Source organism: Homo sapiens, chromosome 12 (genome assembly GCF_000001405.40).
Source record: "Homo sapiens chromosome 12, GRCh38.p14 Primary Assembly".
In the NCBI taxonomy this organism is placed as follows: domain Eukaryota; kingdom Metazoa; phylum Chordata; class Mammalia; order Primates; family Hominidae; genus Homo; species Homo sapiens.
In genome coordinates this window covers 98,809,554-98,831,054 of record NC_000012.12, presented here as the reverse complement: position 1 = coordinate 98,831,054, position 21,501 = coordinate 98,809,554, and the positions used below count along the sequence as shown (strand labels likewise).

General features: G+C 41.4%; 1 protein-coding gene across 73 annotated transcripts in view, besides 1 other annotated feature; it reads left to right on the top strand.

Annotated features, from left to right (window-relative positions):
• The window catches only part of ANKS1B (ankyrin repeat and sterile alpha motif domain containing 1B), a 1,250,151-nt gene that overhangs the window by 1,153,882 nt on the left and 74,768 nt on the right, over positions 1-21,501 (top strand). For 46 of the 73 annotated variants that reach the window (XM_006719507.5, NM_001352197.2, NM_001352196.2 and 43 more), the window contains one exon: positions 1,702-1,881. The exons of 23 other annotated variants lie outside the window; for them this stretch is intronic. In XM_006719507.5, coding sequence (XP_006719570.1) covers positions 1,702-1,881 — 180 coding nt within the window. The remainder of the gene's footprint in view (positions 1-1,701; positions 1,882-21,501) is intronic. 4 more of the 73 variants (XM_011538571.4, XM_047429168.1, NM_001352210.2 and 1 more) reach the window with 1 other exon arrangement.
• Positions 6,545-6,714: an enhancer, noted in NCBI's record as "experimental_31455 CRE fragment used in MPRA reporter constructs". NCBI's record gives its function as "activates a minimal promoter by MPRAs in K562 erythroleukemia cells, with activity observed for the non-introgressed 12:99218204 variant allele {active_cell/tissue: K562}" and the evidence as "EXISTENCE:reporter gene assay evidence [ECO:0000049][PMID:34662402]".

The following is a 21,501-nucleotide window of genomic DNA, read 5'->3' as shown; positions in this document are numbered from 1 at the left end:
AATCGCTTGAACCCGGGAGGCAGAGGATGCAGTGGGCCGAGATCGCACCACTGCACTCCAGCCTGGGCAACAGAGTGAAACTCCATCTCAAAAAAAAAAAAAAAAAAAAAAAAATTATGAGGTAGGAAACTAAAGAGAACCTGTATAAAGGAGAGAGAAATAAAGAGGAAGTGAAGGAAGGGAGGGAGGAAAGGGCAGAGAGGAAGTGAGAAAGATGATTTCCAGGCAAAAATGGCAGTGGCAAGAAGTGGCCGGCAGTCACTGGTGTTCATGAGTCCTACAAGAACTTTTCTAAAATTCGTCGAAAAGCTGAGATCTCCCTGAAAGCTGTGGGGTGCCCACTCTGCTCTCTATTTTGTCCTGCACTTGCTTGCTTCTGATTTCTTTTCTGAAGAGATGAACACAAGCACGGCACCCGGACGTAACCATCGTGATGAAATGCAGTGGGCTGCCTCTTATCAATAAACTTCAGCAAACAGCATAGCCACTGTCAGGATAACAGAGGGCAGGACAGGAAAGGAGCTGTTAGGATTTGGAGTTGATTCAGCTTTGGAGAGGAAAATGCGCAAGGATTTCAGGGGATGCAAGAGAATTGGCTCCAGGAGGACAAGCTTAGCCTCCTGAGAGAGACTGGAGTGGGATGGGTAGGGACTACATGAATACTGGTTTAATTAATTACTGGGGGCATTAGGGTACACTGGGATATTTGGAGGCTACTTGAGAGTTTTGGGAGTCATAAAAGTACAAATAGAAATTTCACCCCTTAGAAAGAGGAGCCTCAAATAAATTAGAAAAAAAAAAGATTTTTGTTTTGCCTTCATTTTGCTACATGGAAGGAGAGAAAGATATAAGCACCATCAGTGTAGTCACCCTAAAATGACTCTTTAGAGGAGTCATTTCCTGCTACTTACCCTGCTCTTTTTCCTTCCCCTTCTGAACCTCTCATTCTGGCTCTCTGGAAGAGATTTAGGGGAACAAAAAAAGATCAAAGACAGAGATTTCCATGCAAAAGTATAGGACCTAAATCTATCATAGAAGGTCCAGAATATCCGGAGGAGAAGGGATCTGGAGAAACACCATGATCCCAATCCTCATTCTACTTGCAAATAGTAGAGCTGAGCTGTCTATGCCCCCTATCTTCCTCCTGACCCGTTTCCCTTGGATGGAGTTGTCTTTGCCTTGGAAAAGCATCCTCTGTCGTAGCATGCACTGCTCTGCAGTCTGTGCGTGTGACATGCTGTGTTGCCGTACTGTGTCCTCTTCCCAACCCTGTTGTCAGACCATTCTTTGATGAAGGATCAAGACCCATTGGGTCTCATTTTAGCTTTCTCATCATGGCATCTACCATGGTGAGGACGCTCTGCCCACATGAGGGCCCAGTTCCTCCCCTGTAAACACATGCAGTAGTGTCAGAGGTGCCCAACATAGGTGTGCCTCCCTCCTGAGACCATCCATGATGCTGCTTTAGGAAAACAGAACCTGACTCTTGATATTTCAGACCTTTGACCTGAAATACTTAGGGGAAAAACGTATTGACTAGATCATGCCATTAATAAAGTGGTGGAATGTCATTCATTCCTTGGCTGTTGCTTCAAAAGCGACTCCCCACCCCCACAGTTTGTCTTGTCAGTATTTCACAATTTTGAAACCAAAGGTTAGCCACAGAACATGGTATTTATTTCATGATGTATTTCCATTCAGGAACCCAGTGGTAATCACACTCCTCCTCAGTTGTCTCCATCACTTAGCCAAAGCACTTACACCACTGGTGGCTCCCTAGACGTTCCTCACATTATCATGCAGGGCGATGCAAGGAGGAGAAGAAATGAAAACTACTTTGATGATATTCCCCGATCAAAACTGGAGAGGCAGATGGCTCAGGTAAGGTGTTATAAGCCTTTGTGATATTTTTCAACCATATCAGGTAATGCCTTTTAATAGTGAACAGTAGCTTCCTATGGATGCTTATTGTCCGTGCCTAACTAGAATTTATACCATGTTATGCCCCGCCTTTCATTCCTTGCTCATCTGAACTAGACCGAGACAGAAATGTCTGGGAATGGAATGTGTACACATGTCCTTGTTATGCATTCCTGCTGAAGAAATTATGTCTGATCTCATTGCACCCAGAAAGTCTTTGCCCTGAAGGGAATAATATAGTGTCAAAGTCAAATCATAATGAAAATGAGTAATAAAAGTCTAGATTACAAAATGTAAATTGGTTGGATAATGGGGCAGAAGTTTGGGGGGAAGGATTAACCCTGTGTGATGTGGTTAATTTCCTCCCAAGTCTATACATTCATACAGAAATGCTCTACTGGGACTAGTTGCGTTTTCTCATATTGTCACCTTGACTAGTTGAAAATGATGATGCTTTCTAGCACAAGTAATTGAAAAGGGAGATCTGTCACGTTCAGACCTTTCCATGTTTTTAGTAGGGATGTTCATGTCTAGCCTGTCCTCGGATTGCTGCTTAGAAACTTGAGTCAGCCTTAACCGAACAGTGGCGCTGTTCTTAATGTACATTCAGATGGGCGGGTAGCTCCGCATTTCACCCTGAGATTCAAAAATATGGATTTGTTGTCAACCATTGGCAGAATCAACTCTTTTCATCCTCATTCTAGGTTCAGACTGATGTGCAGGAGTCTTCTCTCTGCCTCCCACACCTAAGATGGGAATCTCGAGGTGAAAATTTGACTGTAATTGCTTTGCCTTGGTTGTTAAATATTTTTCTCAACTGTTTAGTGAGATTTTATTTTTAAAGCCTCTGGTAAACATTGTATGCTGCAGCTCACGAGAGACAAATGTGATGAGAATGTTCTGGAAACCATGGCTATTCTGCCTGCAGATGCCTTGGGGAGAGAAGGCCTGGGATACTGTGTCTTCTTTCAGCTCCTTTAATTTTGAATTGTTCTCTGGGTTCTTTGTGCAGGCAATGGCAATGTTGGGATTATGGAGACTCTTTTATTGAAAGGGGATGGAAAATATAGGAGAAATAAGAATAATTTTATCTTTCTCTGTTGCTAGGTATTGTCTTTTAATTTTTATTACTGTTTTCACTGGTGCTCTTTTAAATAGGGCATCTGAAAGCTTTTTCCCCCCAAACTTTTCATTTATTTCGTTACTTGTTATATTTTCGAGTCACATATGTGGTTAAATTTCTCTAATGACAGCATTTCAGAGATGTGGTTTGTTTTAACTTTGAGCCATGTTGTCTTTGTGTATTAATATGAACTGGGTCTTTTCTGAGCCCATTTCTTCCCTGGGTAAGGGAGTATAGTTCTTTAATGAGCATTAGCTATTATTGACTGTGTCAACCGCAGTATAGCAGAATTACCTCTCTCAGCTGCTCACATAATTTATGAAATTTCTCCATATACTGCAGGGTTTTTTTAAAAAACGACTTACCCTTCTACCTATGTATAAACACTCAGAGGTGGCCTAGCAAGACTGCACCCTTACATGCTGCCTGAGGTTTTCGAAAGCAGGGGCAGTAGTACCAAATAGCACAAATCTTTTAACGGGTCACTCCAATCAGAAATGCATCCCTTATGAGAATTGTCTTGCCTTGAGAAAATGGAATGGGCTTTTATCTGGCCAGGTGAAAAAAGCCTAAAAGCAGAAAACAGAGTGAGATAAGCAGGCTGATGGGACGTAGTGAACTAGAGCACCTGTGCACGCATGCATTCCCCTCATGTGGAGTACTAACGATGATCGAGTGACTGCTAGACACACAGGCTCCATCAGCCATCAGGAGCTTATTAGAAGCTTTCTAAAAGCCTGCTGTTCAATACAGCACTTCTGCTGCAGAGAAAATAGGAGATGACACCACAGGAATCTGATCAATGAGAAAAAGGGATTCTGGAACTGCAACTCTCTGGGTGGTGTTAATTGCAGTTTTGAGCATGATCGCTAGTATGGAAGGCCAAAACCCATGGAGCAATGAATGCATACCTCTTAAAAATACTGCTTTAACCTGTCAAAATATGAAATACTCTGTCATCTTGTTGTTGAATAATTCAATTTATGTGACTTTTCACCACTCAACTACTCAATTGATGTTTGTTTTTTTCTTATTCTACCTTATTTTTGGTCATTTGCTGTAATACTTTTTGAAATTTATATACTTTTTTAAAAACCTGTCATATCTCTCTAGACCATACTTTTTCCCCTGAAGTTATGTGTTTAGACAATCGAGTTGGGTCTTCCTAAAGACTTGAATTAGCAATTAAAATTTTTGCAAGCAAGCAGCCAGTTATACCTCCTTCCAACCTGGAGCTCCATTCCTCCAGTTCTTTCCCAAGGAGTTTCTCCCAAGAAGCTTACTGTAGCTTGGTTAATGCTTGCCTAACCAGTCCATTTCCCACTAAAATGCAAAAGTCCACCTTCAGGCTTTCTTTCTTACCTACTAAAAGAAATGAGAATGCAGTTGAGAGAAAATCACCTGGACAGATTTATGTTCTTAGAAACCCCTCTACTTCAAGTTTAGCTGAGCTACCATTAGAGTGATTTGGAATTCTAGCCCTGGGCCAGAAACCTTAAGTTCTTGGTGGCCGCAATAATTCATTAGGAGTTTTGCCTTCTTGAGGTCTGCTTACCAGATGTTTGGAGGTGCTTTGCTTAACTTGGAAAAGCAATGCTTAAAGTTAAATTGAGATAAATTTAATGTCCATTTTACCTGTTAAATTTGTTGGCAGATATTTAAAATAAAACACTAGAATGGGGTTTAATTGATTTTTTCAATTTGAAACAATATTTAAAATACCTGTCTTGGGATACAGGGGATTTGCAAATATTGTGAGTATTGTTTGCTATTATTCTGATATAAGCAGTACTCTGGCATCAAATTATTTTAAATGAATATGCAAGAAACAAAATTTGAGTTCAGCATGAACTGAATGTAATGATATAAATACATCTGAATGATGGGTTTCCTATCATGTTGAAAACATAGCTTCTCCAGCCTGTAATTCTAAACTGGACTCATTAGCCCAGAAGTTCTGAAACACTCCCCAATTTCCACACCCCTAATAAATAAATGTTGCATTCACATATGTGTAATTATACCTTAATGTGCATAGTGATTTTAAATTCTCAAAGTACTTTGACATCTGTTATCTCATTTTAGCACAAACAAGGTGTCCTACACACTATTAATGTGTGTACAGCACATGGCAGATCAGCTTTTAATTCTGAGTTATGTGGAAATGAGATAGTAAATGGAAAATATATCAGAAGGAGGAAAATATTTTCAGTATTTAGGACCTAATTGCAGTCTTCAGAAGTTTTCTTGAATGATATTTAGAAGTCGAAGTACCCTTAAAATGAACAATAAGAGAGTGATGGAATGAATAAGGTTAAGGCCACATTCTCCAAACTCATGCAAGAAAAAAAAAAGTTTCCAAATGCTGCAAGTTAAGCCATTTATAGAAGGCTTCCATTTACAGAAAAACGTATGAGAAAATGAAATAGTACTTGTATTTTCACAAAACAAAGGCTTCTCAACAGTAAAAGAAATGCATATCTTTGCATAAACTTTAGCTTAAATATTAGTGAGAATAGTGTGTAATATAAAATCTTTATGTTTTGAATGCTCTTGCCTAAGATTTAAAAAAAAGCAGTATTACCTGGGGGCACTAAAGACACTTTTTCTAAATTATTAGAAAATTAATTCAGTTGCAAGCTTAATATTTCTCAATCTAAATAGTATTAATAAGTACAACTAGGTCAATTACTTCTCTATTTGAAAGCATTTTGTATATTACATTTTAGTTCTTCCAAGGTTTGTTGTTTTGATATTATTAAAGGAAGGGAAGTAGAAGCTGAGCCATACAGAAGCACTGCTGTGACCAGGTTCATGCCTGGGATTGCACATGCAGTATCTTATTTAATCCTCACAAGAGCCTATGTGCACATCTGCCAAACAGGGTGAGTGCTTGGCCTCACAGCTGGTAAATGGTAGAGCTGGGACTCAAGCCCTGGCCTGCCTAACCCTATCCTTGTTCTTCTATAGTCCCTGATGCCCTGTGCCTGCCTCTGTATTAAAATGATATAAAATATTTTAAAAACAGTTCAACAAATACTAATTTCTCATGTGCCATAATAGATTCCATTTATGTGGGCACAGCAAGCAGAAGAGAAAATCACAGTAGTTTAGTGGAAACTGATTGAATCAACTCGTGGTTAACACCATGAAATCCTTAAATGCAAAACTGCACTGGTTATTTGTTGATCCTTCAGCAGAGACCCTGCACAGTGTGTCAGAACGCTGCCTGTCTCCCATGTTTGTGAAAAGCTTTGTAGGTAGGTGTGGGGTTAACTCTGTCTACAAACAAATTCTTGCTTGTGGTGTTTCTCCAAATAGTCGATGCTGTTTTCTTAGTGGCTTCTTCGGTTGGAATTCTGATTTGGTTTCTTTCTGGCTGTGTGACCTGGACCGAGTTATGTGGTGACTCTGAATTTCAATTTTTTTGTCTTTAAAATGTGGATAATGTCTGCTTCTCAGGCCTGTATGTATCAGATAATTTATATGAAAGCATATTCTAAACTGTAAAGCACTATATAGACAGATATGACTATCGGTTCAGACCCATCACCTGTCAGTCCCTAATTCAAAGGTCCCTGCTCATTGTAGGCCAATTAATGACAAAGAGAGTTGAAGGGCAAGTGCTCCGGTGGTTGTAGCATTCTATAAAGACCATCTTTTGTTCCAGTGTTACCCATATTTAGCATGTAGATTGAGAATGGAATTTGCATTTTTCTTTTATTATTTTAATTGTGTAAACACATCATCTGCCAAGGAGCATATATCACGATGCAGAGGGATCTGGGTAGAATGATGTCAAAGCCAGGGAAAGCAGAGAATGGATGCCATATTTCTCTACCAATTCAGGTTACAAAATTGTAACAAAAAATATCATATGGTAATAACACGTTATTATTGTAACATTGTTAGATAAAATATCAAGTGAGAGGGCTTTTTTTTCTTTAAGTGAAATTTGGAACTTTATGGAAATATATTGTGCACAGAACTGTTAGCTTAAAAAGCATGGATATCCCAGAAAGCCATGAGGCAAACACTTTGCCATGTCTGGGAAAGAAGTAGGACAGTAACTTCTCCTCTTATATACTTTTCCTGAGAGAATAGGCCTGTTGTTCCCAGAAATTCTACCCACTGCTCTGGCATTACTGGAATTTACAGAATCAGTTTTCAGAAAATAGCACAACCAAGAAAGGAACAGCATTTTGGAAAGTGGCTTTTTTGGCCAGGCACCGTGGCTCACGCCTGTAATCCCAGCACTTTGGGAGGCCAAAGCGGGCGGAGCACTTGAGGCCAGGAGTTTGAGACCAGCCTGGCCAACATGGCGAAACCCCGTCTCTACTAAAGACTCAAAAGTTAGCTGGGCATGATGGCGGATGCCTGTAGTCCCAGCTGAGACAGGAGAGCTGAGACAGGAGAATTGCTTGAACCCTGGAGGCAGAGGTTGCAGTGAGCTGAGATGGTGCCACTGCACTCCAGCCTGAGTGACAGAGGGAGACTCTGTCTCAAAGAAAAGAGAGTGTTTTTTTCCCCAAACTAAACAAGTTTTCCTATTACTGTGTCACATCAGATTTTTTGTTTAATGTCCGTAAGTTAATGCCTAGATTTAATTTAGATTTTCATCACATAGCCACTACTCAGAAAGGCTCAGCTTGTCCATGATTTCAACATTTCCTTCCATGAAGGTCTAAAGAGCAACTCTTAATACTTAAGCACAGACAGATCATACATAACCAAAAAAGAAGGTCAAGAGTGCACTCAATAAGCTCTTCCGTCAGGAGCTTCCGATTTGACAGCTCGTCAAGTTGACAAGCTGACACCCGAGCTTCAGAGATCATCTGGAATGTTGATGATATCTGTGCCCTATTTCAAGCCAAGAACTCTAGGCCACTAGCCAGCTATGACCAACACAAAAGTGGAAAATAGCGCTTCCATACTTGGAATTTAAACCTGATGTATTGTACACCTTTTTTATTAATATGGTCAGTTAATTTTCTTTTAGCAAATACACCCTGCTCTATCTGAGACAACTTTGGGATTAGAAATTCCAGTATGATTAAGTGTCTTTTGGGCAACACTAATGTCAATATGATTAGTGTCTTGTGAATACTGTACTATAGTCTTAAAACAAATAATTGGAAGAAGTGGGAGAATCACTCAGATGGATTCTTTTTCAGGCTTTGATACTCATCTTACAGGTCTAGATTGTTTTCTTCCCTGTCAAGGTCATCAAGAAGGCAAATTAGCCAGAGTTGATTCTGATAGACCCGTCAGCCCTAAACACCTCCAGTCGTTTTGCTAGAGAAGCTCTGACGTCTCCACCTTGTCTCCATGTGCTGGTGCTTAACCAAGGGTCCTGTTTGCAGTTAAAACCAGACCATGGATTTAAAAAAAGAAAAAGAAGATATCAATAGAAAATATTCTGTTTTCAAAACAACTAAACAAAAAATCTGACAATATATAAAAACCCTATTTCAGTGGAATTGACCTTGTGATATTTAGTGGTGCCTTGGGCTTGTTGACATTGAGCAGCTTGTTCACAAAGAGGCCCAGCAGGTTATTTTTCCACTTGTTAAATTTTCAGAATGTTTCTTATTACATGCAGTCCAGTTCTTGGGTCCACAGGTCAGTTTTGGCTGTTATAATCTGCCCTTGCTAAATTTTCAAGGGTAGGAGAATTCTCTGGTTCTTATTCTCCTTCTCCTTCTTCCCTTTCTTTTTCCAGTGGTAAAAAAAATAAAAAGAAGGTTTTTTAACATCTAGTAGAAATAGGGCTGTTTGTGTGGCCCTGTCTTGGTTAATTCTGTGCGTATAGGCCTAAAGTAATTTATCAGCAAGGACTTTTCCAGATGCATGTAAGTAACAAAAAATCCAACTCAAGATGGCTTAAGCAGAAAAGGGCAGGAGTCCTGGATCCAGGTGCTGTTTTGCTGCATTGCTCTCTGGCTCTCCTTCTCTTGGCTCTGCTGTCCTCTGTGTTGGCTCTTTTCCCAAAGAGCCTCCCTCTCCGTGTGGAGAGATTCAAGCCAAATTGCTGTTTAACTTGAAGTTACAAGAAAGAGAACCTATCTTTCCAAGAGTGTCAAAAAAAAAAAAAAAAAGTCCCAGGCCAGGCATCGTGGCTTATGCCTGTAATCTCAGCAATTTGGGAGGCTGAGGCCGGTGGATCACTTGAGGCCAGGAGTTCAAGACCAGGCTGGGCAACATGGCAAAACCCCATCTCTGCTAAAAATGCAAAGATTATCTGGGCATGGTGGCAGATGTCTGTAATCCCAGCTACTCGGGAGGCTGAGGCATGAGAACCACTTGAACCCAGGAGGCGGAGTTCACAGTGAGCAAGATCGCACCACTGCACTCCAGCCTGGGAAACAGAGCAAGACTCTGTCTCAAAAAAGAAAAAGTCTCAGTATTACGTTCCATCAGTTCCAGTGAGCCTGGATTGGATCAAGTGTCCTTCCCTGAGCTAATTGCAAAGGGGTGTGTATATGTGAGAGAGAGAGACAGAGAGAGAGAGACAGACAGACAGACAGATTGATTAGCAAGACAGAGGTCCCACACCAGGGGTGGTTTTAGCTCCATGTGAACAATGTGGACTGAGGAGTAAGGAGGCACCTCCTCCCATGAACAGCCAGGCCGCTGCTGCTAGAAGAGGGGCTGGTTTCTAAGCAGGCAGAAATAGCAATAATGGGCATCTGAATAAATCCACTCTGACTTTGGAATTCTGAGATTGTCTGATGGAAAATTGCTATATCAGATGAGTATTGATTTCATTTTTTCATACTTAATTTGATGAGCTTTGTTAGAATGCCAGGTTTGAAGAAATGAGATCATGGTGAAAAATCCCATCTCTGATGTCTATTTCCTCTGTAACCTTGGACACGCTTCTTAGCTATGCAGAGCCTTAGTTTTCTCTTCCTAGAGTGAGGTTAATGCCCACCCCACATCATTGTTGTGAGGCACAAATAAAATGGTATTTTTTCGAAGTGTTTTACAAACTATGAAACTATACGTTTGGGTTGTTTTAGAAATTATTGTTATTATTTTGAGATAACTTCTAGTTTTCTTCTACATTATGCTTTCTCAACTGCATCTGGGAGTAAATGCATTTTAAAGTAAATCTCATGTTTAGCTACATCTTGCAAAACTGTTTCTGTTTTCCAGCTTGTAAGCCCAAACTAATACCTCTTCACTGACTTGGAAATCATAGTTTTTATGAAAGCAAACACTGTCCAAGAAGCTCCTATTCATGTTATAACCTAGTTAACACTGGTGCTCTTTGGAAAAGGAATTATGGATGATATCCATACTTAAATACTTTTAAAAATTAAAGGATGTTTATGAGTTAGTGTATTTCAAAATATTTCATTATATTTCATTTTTAAATGTTTGCTTCTTTTTTGGTAAAGTGTATGTTGGCTATGTGGGGGCAATGCCTCACTCTTCCGTAGTCATTTTTTAATTCCTCTAAAATAAACACTCTGTAAATACTGTTGACCAAATTACTTTATGTAAGGCTATAGGCATCATAAAACCACAGGGCTCTACGACAGATCAGATTGGACACAAATTGAGATGGTCTCCAGTTTTTTAGGGAAATACACTGCCTGGAACAATAGCGTATCATCGGTCTAGCTTAGGCCTGGTGATTCATCGGCATCATCGTCAGAGCCAGCACTGATTAGTACAGCTTTATAAGGAGGAAACTGAGGCATGGAGCATTTATGTGGCTTGCCCACGGCCACAAAAATTAAAAGGTACAGAACCAGGATTCCAATGCCAGCAGCCTAGCTTCACAGCTGTCGTGTGAACCACAGTGTTGATGAACACCCCATATTGTCTCTGCAAACTGGGAACTAGCGGACGTGGCACATTCCAGAAATTCCAAAACCCCAAATGCTCCAATGCAATGTTTTGAGTTCCTTGAAAAATCCTATTAAGAATATCTAATACCTTATGTAAATGCAACTTCAGTAGAGAATTAAACCTCTAAAGTAGCATGGATAAACATTGTATTTGAAGAAAATCCTTTGCTCCTGACATCCAATTTTTCATTCTTTACAAATCAGAGATAGTAAACAATTGCTTCATGTAAAGCATTGTGAAATGATATGACCTCCTTTCTGTATGGGCCTCTATTCTAATGAGGTTTGAATGCAGGATCACAAAATTTGTGATAACTTGCTTTTGTCTGTATGCATTAATAGCTAGAAGATTCTTCTGTGCAGTCAGAAGAATGCAGAACTGAGAATACAGATGACCAACTGTACTGTTAAAGAAAAGCAGAGAATTTTAAGATGAGAAGGGGCCAGAAAATGTATGTAGTCCCATCTCTTAATTGATGCAGGCACCCATTCTAATACATCCTTACAGACAGCCACAAGTTTCTGCCTAAACTTGACTGGAAAGCTGGCCCGCTCTTTGTAAGGCAGCCCCATGATTGGAAAAGGTCTAGTTGATATAACTTTTGCCTTATATTGAATTGAAATAAGCCTCCCTATAACTCCTACATAGTTCATGATATCTTCTGAAACAACAAAGAATACATCTGCTCCCTTTTGCTGGGAAGAGTTTTTTTAAGACTGAAGACAATTTGATATTTTCCCTTCACTATATTAAATGTCTCCAGCTCCTTGCCAATCCCATGTGATAAGGGGGATGTGGGCCGTACAGCATCCTGGTTCCCCAGCTCTGGGCAGATCAACATTAACATGTCATTCATTCTTACTGTGCTTTTCTTCATGAAAATTTCCCAGCCTTTATCAATAGCTACGCCTCCTTTCTCAGCAGCGCTGGATTTACATTATCCTTTTCCAGATAAAGCAGTTTTTATAAAGTTACTCATCCAATAATCCTAGTCTATCAAGACCTTTCTAAGACTTAGTTGCCACTCAGTATATCAGTGATCCTTTTCAACTATGTAATGTGCTCATTTTAAGAATCTTACCTCAAAACAACAAACCTTTGAAGTCATCCATCAGTGTATTGAGTGAAGTGTTGATTAAAGTAGAATTGAAAAAAAAACTGTGAGCTTTCTACTAGAGACCTCTTAGCTTGGCATCGTTCAAGAGGATTGTTCAACTGCACCTTGTTTTTTCATATTTTTCACAAGGATAAAATGAAGAAATGGTGGGGTCTCAATAAACATCATTGAATAAATGACTCTGCCCAATGCATCTTTTCTGTCAGAAGCAGGAAACAAACAGTCGGGCTCCAGTTAATAAATGAATTTAAGTAAAGGAAATGACAACCTCACTTTGCAAGAAAGGAATATAATGTATATTGTAAAGAGATGTTACAAAGAACAACATTACTTTGCAAAATCTAGGTTTTTTTCAGCCATTCATGTTATGATAAAAAGCTGATCACTGCCTTTCTGAATTAGTTATTAATGTTCTGCTTTTTAGTGGCCCTGAAAAACGTTTGATAGCATCCAGACTTTGAGGTAGAACAAGTAAAACAGCCCATATTGCTATAAACAGCATGATCCCAATTGACTCAAATTCCCTGCAACATCCCTGGAACCTGGGGAGCTGCACAATGAGAGCTGGATTGTACAGGCAATGCTCATTTTTTTCCTCTGCTCTATTTTTTTCTTGTAAAGGGATTTCATAAACAATTGTGTAATGCCATTTAGGGCTACAGCTGTCATATTAGGGAATACAGGTTATATATTACCTCTACAAATGAATAACAGGAATATCATAAGCCTATAGTTCTCTCCTTCTCTCCTACTTTAGTAGCCGAGGACTTCTTTTATGTGATATCAGTCCCAGAATTAGAGTTAAGGAAGGAAGGGAAAGAGGGAAAGAGGGAGGGAGGAAGAGAGGAAGAGAGGAAGGAAGGGAGGGAGGGAGGGAAGGAGGGAGGGAGGGAGGGAACTGGAGAGGAATGGGAAAGGGAAGGGAGTTTGGAAAGGGAATGGAAGGAAAACCTTAAACTTGGGAAGACAGTGTTAGAATTTATATCATGCCAGTGGACTTAGATGGAACCAAATGTGTTGTTTACTTCCTCCCACTCTTGGTAGGTTGATTAATGCTGACTCCAGCAATCATGGGTCACACGTGCAGATGTTGTTAGAGAAACAACTGTTGGCCTGGCTTTTCCTTCCCAGCAGGTGATAACTGATCTGTCCAAAAATCCTCCCCACAGGCACAGGGGAAGGTCACGATCATGAAGTTTTGGAAGGATTGCCCTTCAGAAAGATGGAGAAATGGCAGGAAGCAGCATTTTCTTGACTCTAGCATTTCCTGCAAATGAAATAGTTCAGCTGAGACCTTTTATAAAAAGGGTCAGTGGGTGCATGCATAACTTTTTCACACTTTAGAACTAGAAATAAATAGACACAGACAGGGAACTTGAGAAGCTAACAGTGTGGTTGCAGAGAAGAATCTAAATCCCATGCAGTTGTTACAGGACTGAGTGTGTATCTCAAAACTCACTCAAGAGGTGAGAAGGAGGAGTGTTCCTCTGTCTCCGATGGTGGGCAGGAAGAAGTAATCAGATGCTGGCCTGCGGCCTCTGGGTAACTCACAAGAAACAAAAGGCTCTAATTTTCTGATTTTCCAGGCAGGGTTCAGTTAATGCCCACAGAAGAAGCAACTGTGGGGCTGTCACTGCTGAAAGAAAATATGCATACAAGGTGTTTGGTGCGTTACCCCTTGACTGCACTGAATTTGTTTGACTCCATCCTTTGACAGGTCTCATTTCATCCCAGTCTCTGCTCAAGGAGCCACTGAGTTTGCTGGCTATTGGCTAAGGCTTCCTTTGCTGGGATGCCCTTTTTTCTTCTGCCTTTGAAGCTGTTTTGTTTGCTCTTCAAGTCTGTTTTCATTTTCTTTTAGAAGCACTATCATCCAGAAGAAGGAATGCACTTCATTATTCCTTGAGCTTTCACTCTGAAACTTTCATATTTCTTGCTGGTTTCTTTCTGGTCAATTTCTGAATACCCTGAAGTGTTGAAAGTATTATGACAAACATAAGGGAGAAACAGAGAAAAAGTCTTTTTTTCTTTTTTTTTTTCAGGGCTAGAACACGGCAGAAAATTTCATCTCTGGTAGAATCTGACTGGAGGGCTCTATTCATAAAAGTTTCTTTATTAGATTAGCTATATAATATCAGCAGACTCCCAGAAGCTTTCCAGAGCTTAATAGGGGTTATCGAGTTGATGGAGCTGTCATCTACTTGCTCTGTTCTGAGACCCACCATCAGCCTGTCAGTCCCAGTTTACTACTGGTTCTGTCCACGGAGAAAGCAATTTTCATGCCATAAACGTTGATTAAAAGCAAGATTGATCCCTACTCACTTTGTGACCCAGGCCTTGCACACAGTAGATGACCAGTAACTACTTTTGCATGAATGTCAGGGTGACAGGGAGATAGGTTCTTATGTGCCAAACATTTTTTACATTTTAAATTTCTGCTTAAGGCCAGGTGCAGTGGCTCACACCTGTAATCCCAGTACTTTGGGAGGCCGAGGCGAGGGGATCCTATAAGGCCAGGAGTCCGAGACCTGGCCAACATGGCGAAACCCCGTCTCTACTAAAAATACAAAAATTAGCCAGGTGTAGTGGTGCACACCTGTAATCCCAGCTACTCGGGAGGCTGAGGCACAAGAATCATTTGAACCTAGGAGGTGGAGGTTGCAGTGAGCCAAGATCGTGCCATTGCACTCCCTCCTGGGTGACAGTGAGACCCTGTCTCAAAAACAAACAAATAAATAAATAAATAATTTCTGCTTGAAAGAATAATTCTTTTATAGAGTGGAAAGCACAGACTTAATTTGGATGTAATATGCCTAGGGAAGGCTTCTCTGAAAAAGTGACATTAGAATAGAACTTGAAGGAAGTGAGGGAGCTAGCTAGGCCTATAGTAGCCAGAGGGAGAACATGTCAGGCAGAAAGAGAAGCAAATGCAGAGGCTATGAGGCAAGAATGTGCTTTGCTGTCAAGAACCCAGACAGCAAGACGAAGATGGGTAGGAGAGGAGGGTAGGGAGGTAGAGCAGTGTGGGTACCAGAGAACGGAGAACCTTGCAGGTCATTGTTAGGACTGAATTATCTTCTGTGTTGAATGGAGCTGAGTGGAATGACCTGGCTTTCATTTTAGATGGGTCATTTTGGCTGTAGTACTGAGAAGAGATACTAAGGAGGCAAGGATAACAGCAGTGAGACCCGTAAGAAGCCAATGGAATAAATCAAACGAGAAAAGGGAGTAGCTTGGAGCAAGTAGTGACAGGAAGGTGAAATTTTAGAAGTAGATTCAATAGGCTTTGCTGCTGGATTGAATGCGAGATACAGGAGAAAGGAGAGCTCCAGCATTGTGAACCTGAGGAACTGGAAAAAAAATGGCTGCCATTTGCCAAAACAAGGAAGCTCACAGGGAGGTGAGGTCATCAGGAGCTTGGTCTCTGACATTTAATTTAAGGTTGAGCTGATTTAATAAATGCAAAAGGAGAAGCATCAAGCAGGCAGCTGGGTGTCCAAGTCTTGAATTTAGGGAAGAAGTCTGGGCTGGAAATATGAATTTGGGAGTCACAACTGGAAGAGACCACCTAGTATAGCCAAGAAGGAAGGGAAGACTGAGGACTAACACTCCAGGGATGCTCAGATAACAGGAAGCAGCCAAAGAGGCTAAGGAATGGAGGAGTGATCAAGGGTGTCACATAGGTCAAGGAAAATAGAAAATTGTTTCAGTTTCAGTAGAGTGGGCTCAGATGAGGACAGGAAAAGAGAAAGTGGAGACCATCTAGACATTTCTCAGGGAGTTTTGCTTAAAGAAGATTAGAGTAATTGAGCAGGAAACCGAGGGTGATGTTGGGGCAAGGGAAGGAGTTTGTTTGCTTTTGATGGAAGATGTTATAGCAATTTCTGAGAATGCTCCAGGAAAGAGGACAAACCATAATGAAGGGGAGATAATTTATTGTAAACTACTGGATCAAAAAGGAAGTCCACCTTTAGGAGGAAAACTTTGGAAATTGGTTATATTCTTTTTATTTTGTGATTAGATTTGAATGCAGTTGTGTTGTATTTTCTGAGCTGAAGTCATGGTAACCGAAAGTATAAGACGGTAACAAGAGCGAGACATGCATTGCATTTTAAGAAAACATTTCCAGAGCTAAGAGAGAGGTCTGAACTGAAGATAAAATTATACACCTTCAAATGTGTGTTGACTTCACCATCAAAGAAGTAAACATTAAATTATTGGTAATATCTCAGTTGTAAGTCTACCTTTACTTACCCCTATTTGTTTGGGTTTCATAGTAATTCAGGTTCAGAAAAACTAAATGAGGCTTTGCAATATATGTGACAGGGATTGAGAGAAAATAGGCAAATGAAATTGCAAAGGGGTGATTAACATTCTTTCATGGAACTGTTTCTAAGCTCTACAAGCAGCCTTTTGACACCTAGGTATGCTAATGACAAATGTTCCTTCTCTCTTCGGCAAGCTGGCAGCCCTTTACTGTCTTTATCAGGAAATATGAGGAATCTTCCAATAGGAAGTCAGCAGTTTCTGGTACAATTAACCGGAAGTGTGTTGGCAGTGACATAGCTTATGAAAGGCACAAGTGGCACCAATAGAGTAGACCAGTTAAAAATGATAACGGATAACGGTAGTGACTAATGTTTGCATAATGCTTTGCCATTTACCAAGGCCTTTTGAATGTGTTATATGATTCCATTCATTCGGTAAAAATGTGTTCCTTCTGTGTTCCAAGCCCTAAACATTTAGCTGTGAAAAAGTTTCCTCTCTCGTGAAGCTGCACAACAACTTGGTGAAATAAGTAGGTCAAGTACTATTCTCCTTCTTTACAGATGAAGACATTGTAAAGCTTAATTATGGCCAGGCGCGGTGGCTCATGCCTGTAATCCAAGCACTTTGGGAGGCCGAGGCAGGCAGATCACCTGAGGTCAGGAGTTCAAGACCAGCCTGTCCAACATGGTGAAACCTGTCTCTACTAAAAATACAAAAATCAGCCAGATGTGGTGGCAGGCATCTGTAATGCCAGCTACTCAAGAGGTTGAGGCAGGAGAATCACTTGAACCCGGGAGGCAGAGGTTGCAGTGAGCCAAGACCACGCTACTGCACTCCAGCCTGGGTGACAGAGCAAGACTCTGTCTCAAAAACAAACAAACAAAAACTAAAAAAACAAAATAGTTTAATTTGGCCAGGTGCGGTGGCTCATGCCTGTAATCCCAGCACTTTGGGAGGCCAAGGTGGTTGGATCACTTGAGGCCAGGAGTTTGAGACCAGCCTGGCCAACATGGTGAAACTCATCTCTACTAAAAATAACAAAAATTAACTGGGTGAGGTGGTTCACACCTGTGATCCCAGCTACACAGGAGGTTGAGGCACTTGAACCCGGGAGAGAATCACTTGAACCCAGGAGGCAGTGGTTGCAGTAAGCCAAGATTGTGCCACTGTACTCCAGCCTGGGTGACAGAGCAAGACCCTGTCTCCAATGCCACCAAAAAAGAAAAAAAAAAACAAAACTTAAATTTAAGACTGGGCACAGTGGCTCACAACTGTAATCCTAGCACTTCCGGAGGCCGAAGAAGGCAGATCGCTTGAGCCCAGGAGTTCAAGACCAGCCTGGGCAACATAGCAAGACCTCCTCTCTACACATTTAGAAAAAAAAAAAAAAAATAGGTGAAGTGGTGCATCCCTGTAGTCCCAGCTCCTTGGGAGGCTGAGGTGAGAGAATCACTTAAGCCTGGAAGGGCCAGTCTGCAGTGAGCCATGGTTGCACCACTGCACTCCAGCCTGGGTGACAGAATGAGACTCCATCTCAAGAAAAAAAAAAAAACAAAAAAACTTAACTCACTACTTTTCTAGGAATTTGGGCCCCAGATGAAATTTTATGACTGGTATTATATTTCTTTCTCAAAACTTTTCAAAACTCAGTACTTCAATACATGTTTTACCCTGAAATGTTATTTTCATAAACATAATTAATTTCTACTCTGGAAACTCTTGGATTTAAAAAATTAATTCCAGCACTCAGTATAATGACCCTATGTCTAGGAGAAGAGCCATTTCATATTATGAATGCAGCAGTTACAACAGGTCTGCCTTAAGTCGCTTGCTCTGTGAGCCTGACAAATTATTTACTGCTAACAAAACTACTGCGGTATCTGGAATGCATCCGATTTTTTAAAAAAATAATTTTCATCCCAGCATTTTGGGAGGCTAAGGTGGGTGGATCACTTGAGGCCAGGCGTTTGAGACCACCAGCCTGGGCAACATGGTGAAACCCCATATCTACTAAAAATATAAAAATTAGCTGGATATGGTGGCACATGCCTGTAGTCCCAGCTTCTCGAGTGGCTGAGGTACAAGAATCACTGGAACCCAGGAAGCGGAGGTTGCAGCGAGCCGAGATCGCACCCCTGCACTCTAGCCTGGGCAACAGAGCAAAGGTTCTGTGTCAAAAAAAATAAAATAATAATTTTCACAACTCAAACACAACTGCTTTTAAACTCTTTTAAATTCTGACTTTTTACCACTTGCACTGACACGATGACAGTTACGCATAACCTAATGATGGGGATACGTTCTGAGAAATGCATCGTTAGGTGATTTCGTCATGCAAACGTCATAGTGTGTATTTACCCAACGTGAGATGGTGTCACCTGCCACACAGCTGGGCTGTATATGATCTAGCCTATTGCTCCTCCCAACCTGTACAGCATGTTACTATACTGAATACTGTAGGTGACTGTAACACAATGGTGAGTATTTGTGTATCTAAACATACCTAAGTCTGGCTCTAGCTTTACTTCTTCCAACCCCCACAAAAGGTACAGTAAATATATGGTATTGTAGTCTTGTGAGACCCCTGTAGCATATGCAGTCTGTCGTTGACTGAAACATCGTTATGTTGTGCATGACGGTATTAGAAATTATAGAGGTTTTACTTTCTCTAAATTTACAACATAGCTTATAAATAGAAAATATTTGTTATAACATCTAAAAAATGTACATAAGCCATGTATGAACTCTCAGTGTATATGACTAGGGGTAGGTTCTTTATTCTTCATTGAGAAAAATTTTATATGATTTTTTTTAATGAAATAAGTATGGCGTAGGATCCTCTTTTCCCTTCTTAACTCTGGTAAATTTCTGTGAGTAGTGAAAGATCTATTCACTATTGGAAGATCTATTCCCAGGATGCTAAGTGGGAATTTTCCTGTAGGTACTAAGCACTGCACACCCTAAAGAGAAAGCTATCAATCATGGAGCCAGACACCTAGTTCGGGGTTTACAAGGAGGCAGTGTGAATCCTGCCCTGCCCCTGTCAGCTACCTCTCCACATAGGCAGAACATTGGTTAGTGCTGGAGAAGGACAGGGAATTGTCTGAGTCCTGTGGAAAGAACTAAGGCTTTTCCTCCTTTGCCATGAGAGAGGAGACAGAATGCATTCCCGTGCTCTCCAATCCTGGTGAGAAGGGGTCCAGGAGGAATGTACATCTGGCTTGGGGGTGCCTGCAGGAGGGAAAACTGGCCTTGGTATCCATAATTGGACTTCTGCCAGGCAGGTCACATAGCACCTACCGAGCTGACACAGAGAGTCTTGGGGAGGGATGCCCTGGCAGAGAGGGGGAGTGTTCACAGAGCAGCCCGCCCTTCTACTGTTCTGTGTGACAAGGATGTGTGTCCATATCATGTGGGCCACATGGATGTGCAGAAGGAGTCTGGGGTTATGTTTGTCCCCCTGGGTCCCCTTCAGGGGGCATGCATGTGTCCTAGGAGGGCTGAGTGGGAGTTGGAAGAAGTCAAGCTAGAGGCAGATTTCTGCCAGCAGAAACTGTGCAGTGGGAGGACCTGCCCTCTATCCTAGAAGAGCTCTCCAAAGAAATCACACGGGGACACAGGAGAACCTAGGTTGGAGCAGCTGCTACGTAGAGCACATGGGAGACCATGTTAACGTTAGCTGAAAAGCAGTGCGGCTGCCAGAGGAACAGCCAGACAAGAAAGGGACCTCGTCCTTTTCCTGTTTCTTCCTCCCCAACTAAACACATGAAGTAGGTAGAGCTTGGGGCAGGGAACATCCAAGGTAGACCATGACACCTGCCCTCACCTCTCCTAGGAGAAGTCAAAGCGCAGACCGAGCTTCTCTTATCCACCCCGGGCTTTTTAAGCCCCAAGACTGACACACAAGGAGGGAAGGAAAAGTTTGAATCAGATATGAGTTTGGATTTCATACAAAATGGAGTCTTCATGACTCAAAGTGACCAGGAAGTGATGCAGTCTGCCCAAAAGGTTAAATGGCCTTGTGCCCATCAGGCAGGCAGACTGGGCATGGCCCCTTTGGGAGTAACCAAAACAACCTAAAACAACTTTTTGGTGTTTGGACCCCAGTGCAGTTAAGACTGTCTCATGAACTGATTGCATTTAGATATACTTGTGTTAACTTAAATATATATATATGAATTTAGTAAAGTAGAGGAGACTTTATTTCTTCTAAAGGGTTACAGCCTGCAAGATGGCCATCCCGCAGGCTGGGAAGCACCTCCAACCAAGACCCCAGAGACGGGTACTTCGAAGGAAAAGGGCTTAGGTAGAAGATTTATGCTGAACAGATTAGCTAAACACATATATTCAATGTGTTACAAGAGCTGTGAATATTCATGAAGGTGGTCCTGACACATGTGTATTGAACCAACATGCATGTAACATGTGGCCTATGTTCACTTTGGGTTGGAGACTTAACATGTAGATATATTACAGTTAGCCCTGTTCGTCAGAAGGGCTTTTCAGGACATGAAGGCACACAAGTGTGCAATCTCTGTAGACCAACCAGAACTAGTCCATGGTTAGTAATCTTATTTGGATAAAGTTACTGAATCAATCTCTTGTCCAGCTGTAGTTATGGCTGGTGGAGCAGGGGCTAAGGGTCAATCAGCATCTGGTGGAGGTGCAAATTGTTTAAATATTGCTTCTCTTAAGGCCAGTACCTGTTTAGCTGCTAGAGAAAAAGAAAAACCTTGTGGCAGTTGGAACATAGTTTATTCTTTAGGTATAGGGGTGCGTGACTTAACCTTTGCCTAGCATGGCCTCGGGTCCTGTTGATAATTTGGTATCTTATAGCCACAAAGAGACTGTTCTGTCACTCTTATGATGTCTATTTTAACATTAATTCCGATCAGTTGTTGTGTCTAAACCATGAAAAAGAGGAGGTATAATGAGGCTTGTCTCACCTCCCATCCCATCATGGTCAGAAACTCAATTTTAAGGTTTTTCTGGGGTCCCCTTGGCCACAAGGGGGTCCGTTCAGTCGGTGAGGGGGCTTACGATTTTATTTTTAGTTTCTGTTCATTTCAGGGTCAGTAGAACCAAGCTGTATATAGCTGGAGTGGCCCTCTGCCTTCTGGTGACATCAGTACCAGGCTCACACTCCTTCTTAGCCATCCCAGCAGGCTGACACATTGTGCCACTCACCTGTGTGACCTGAGCAAGCCACTTC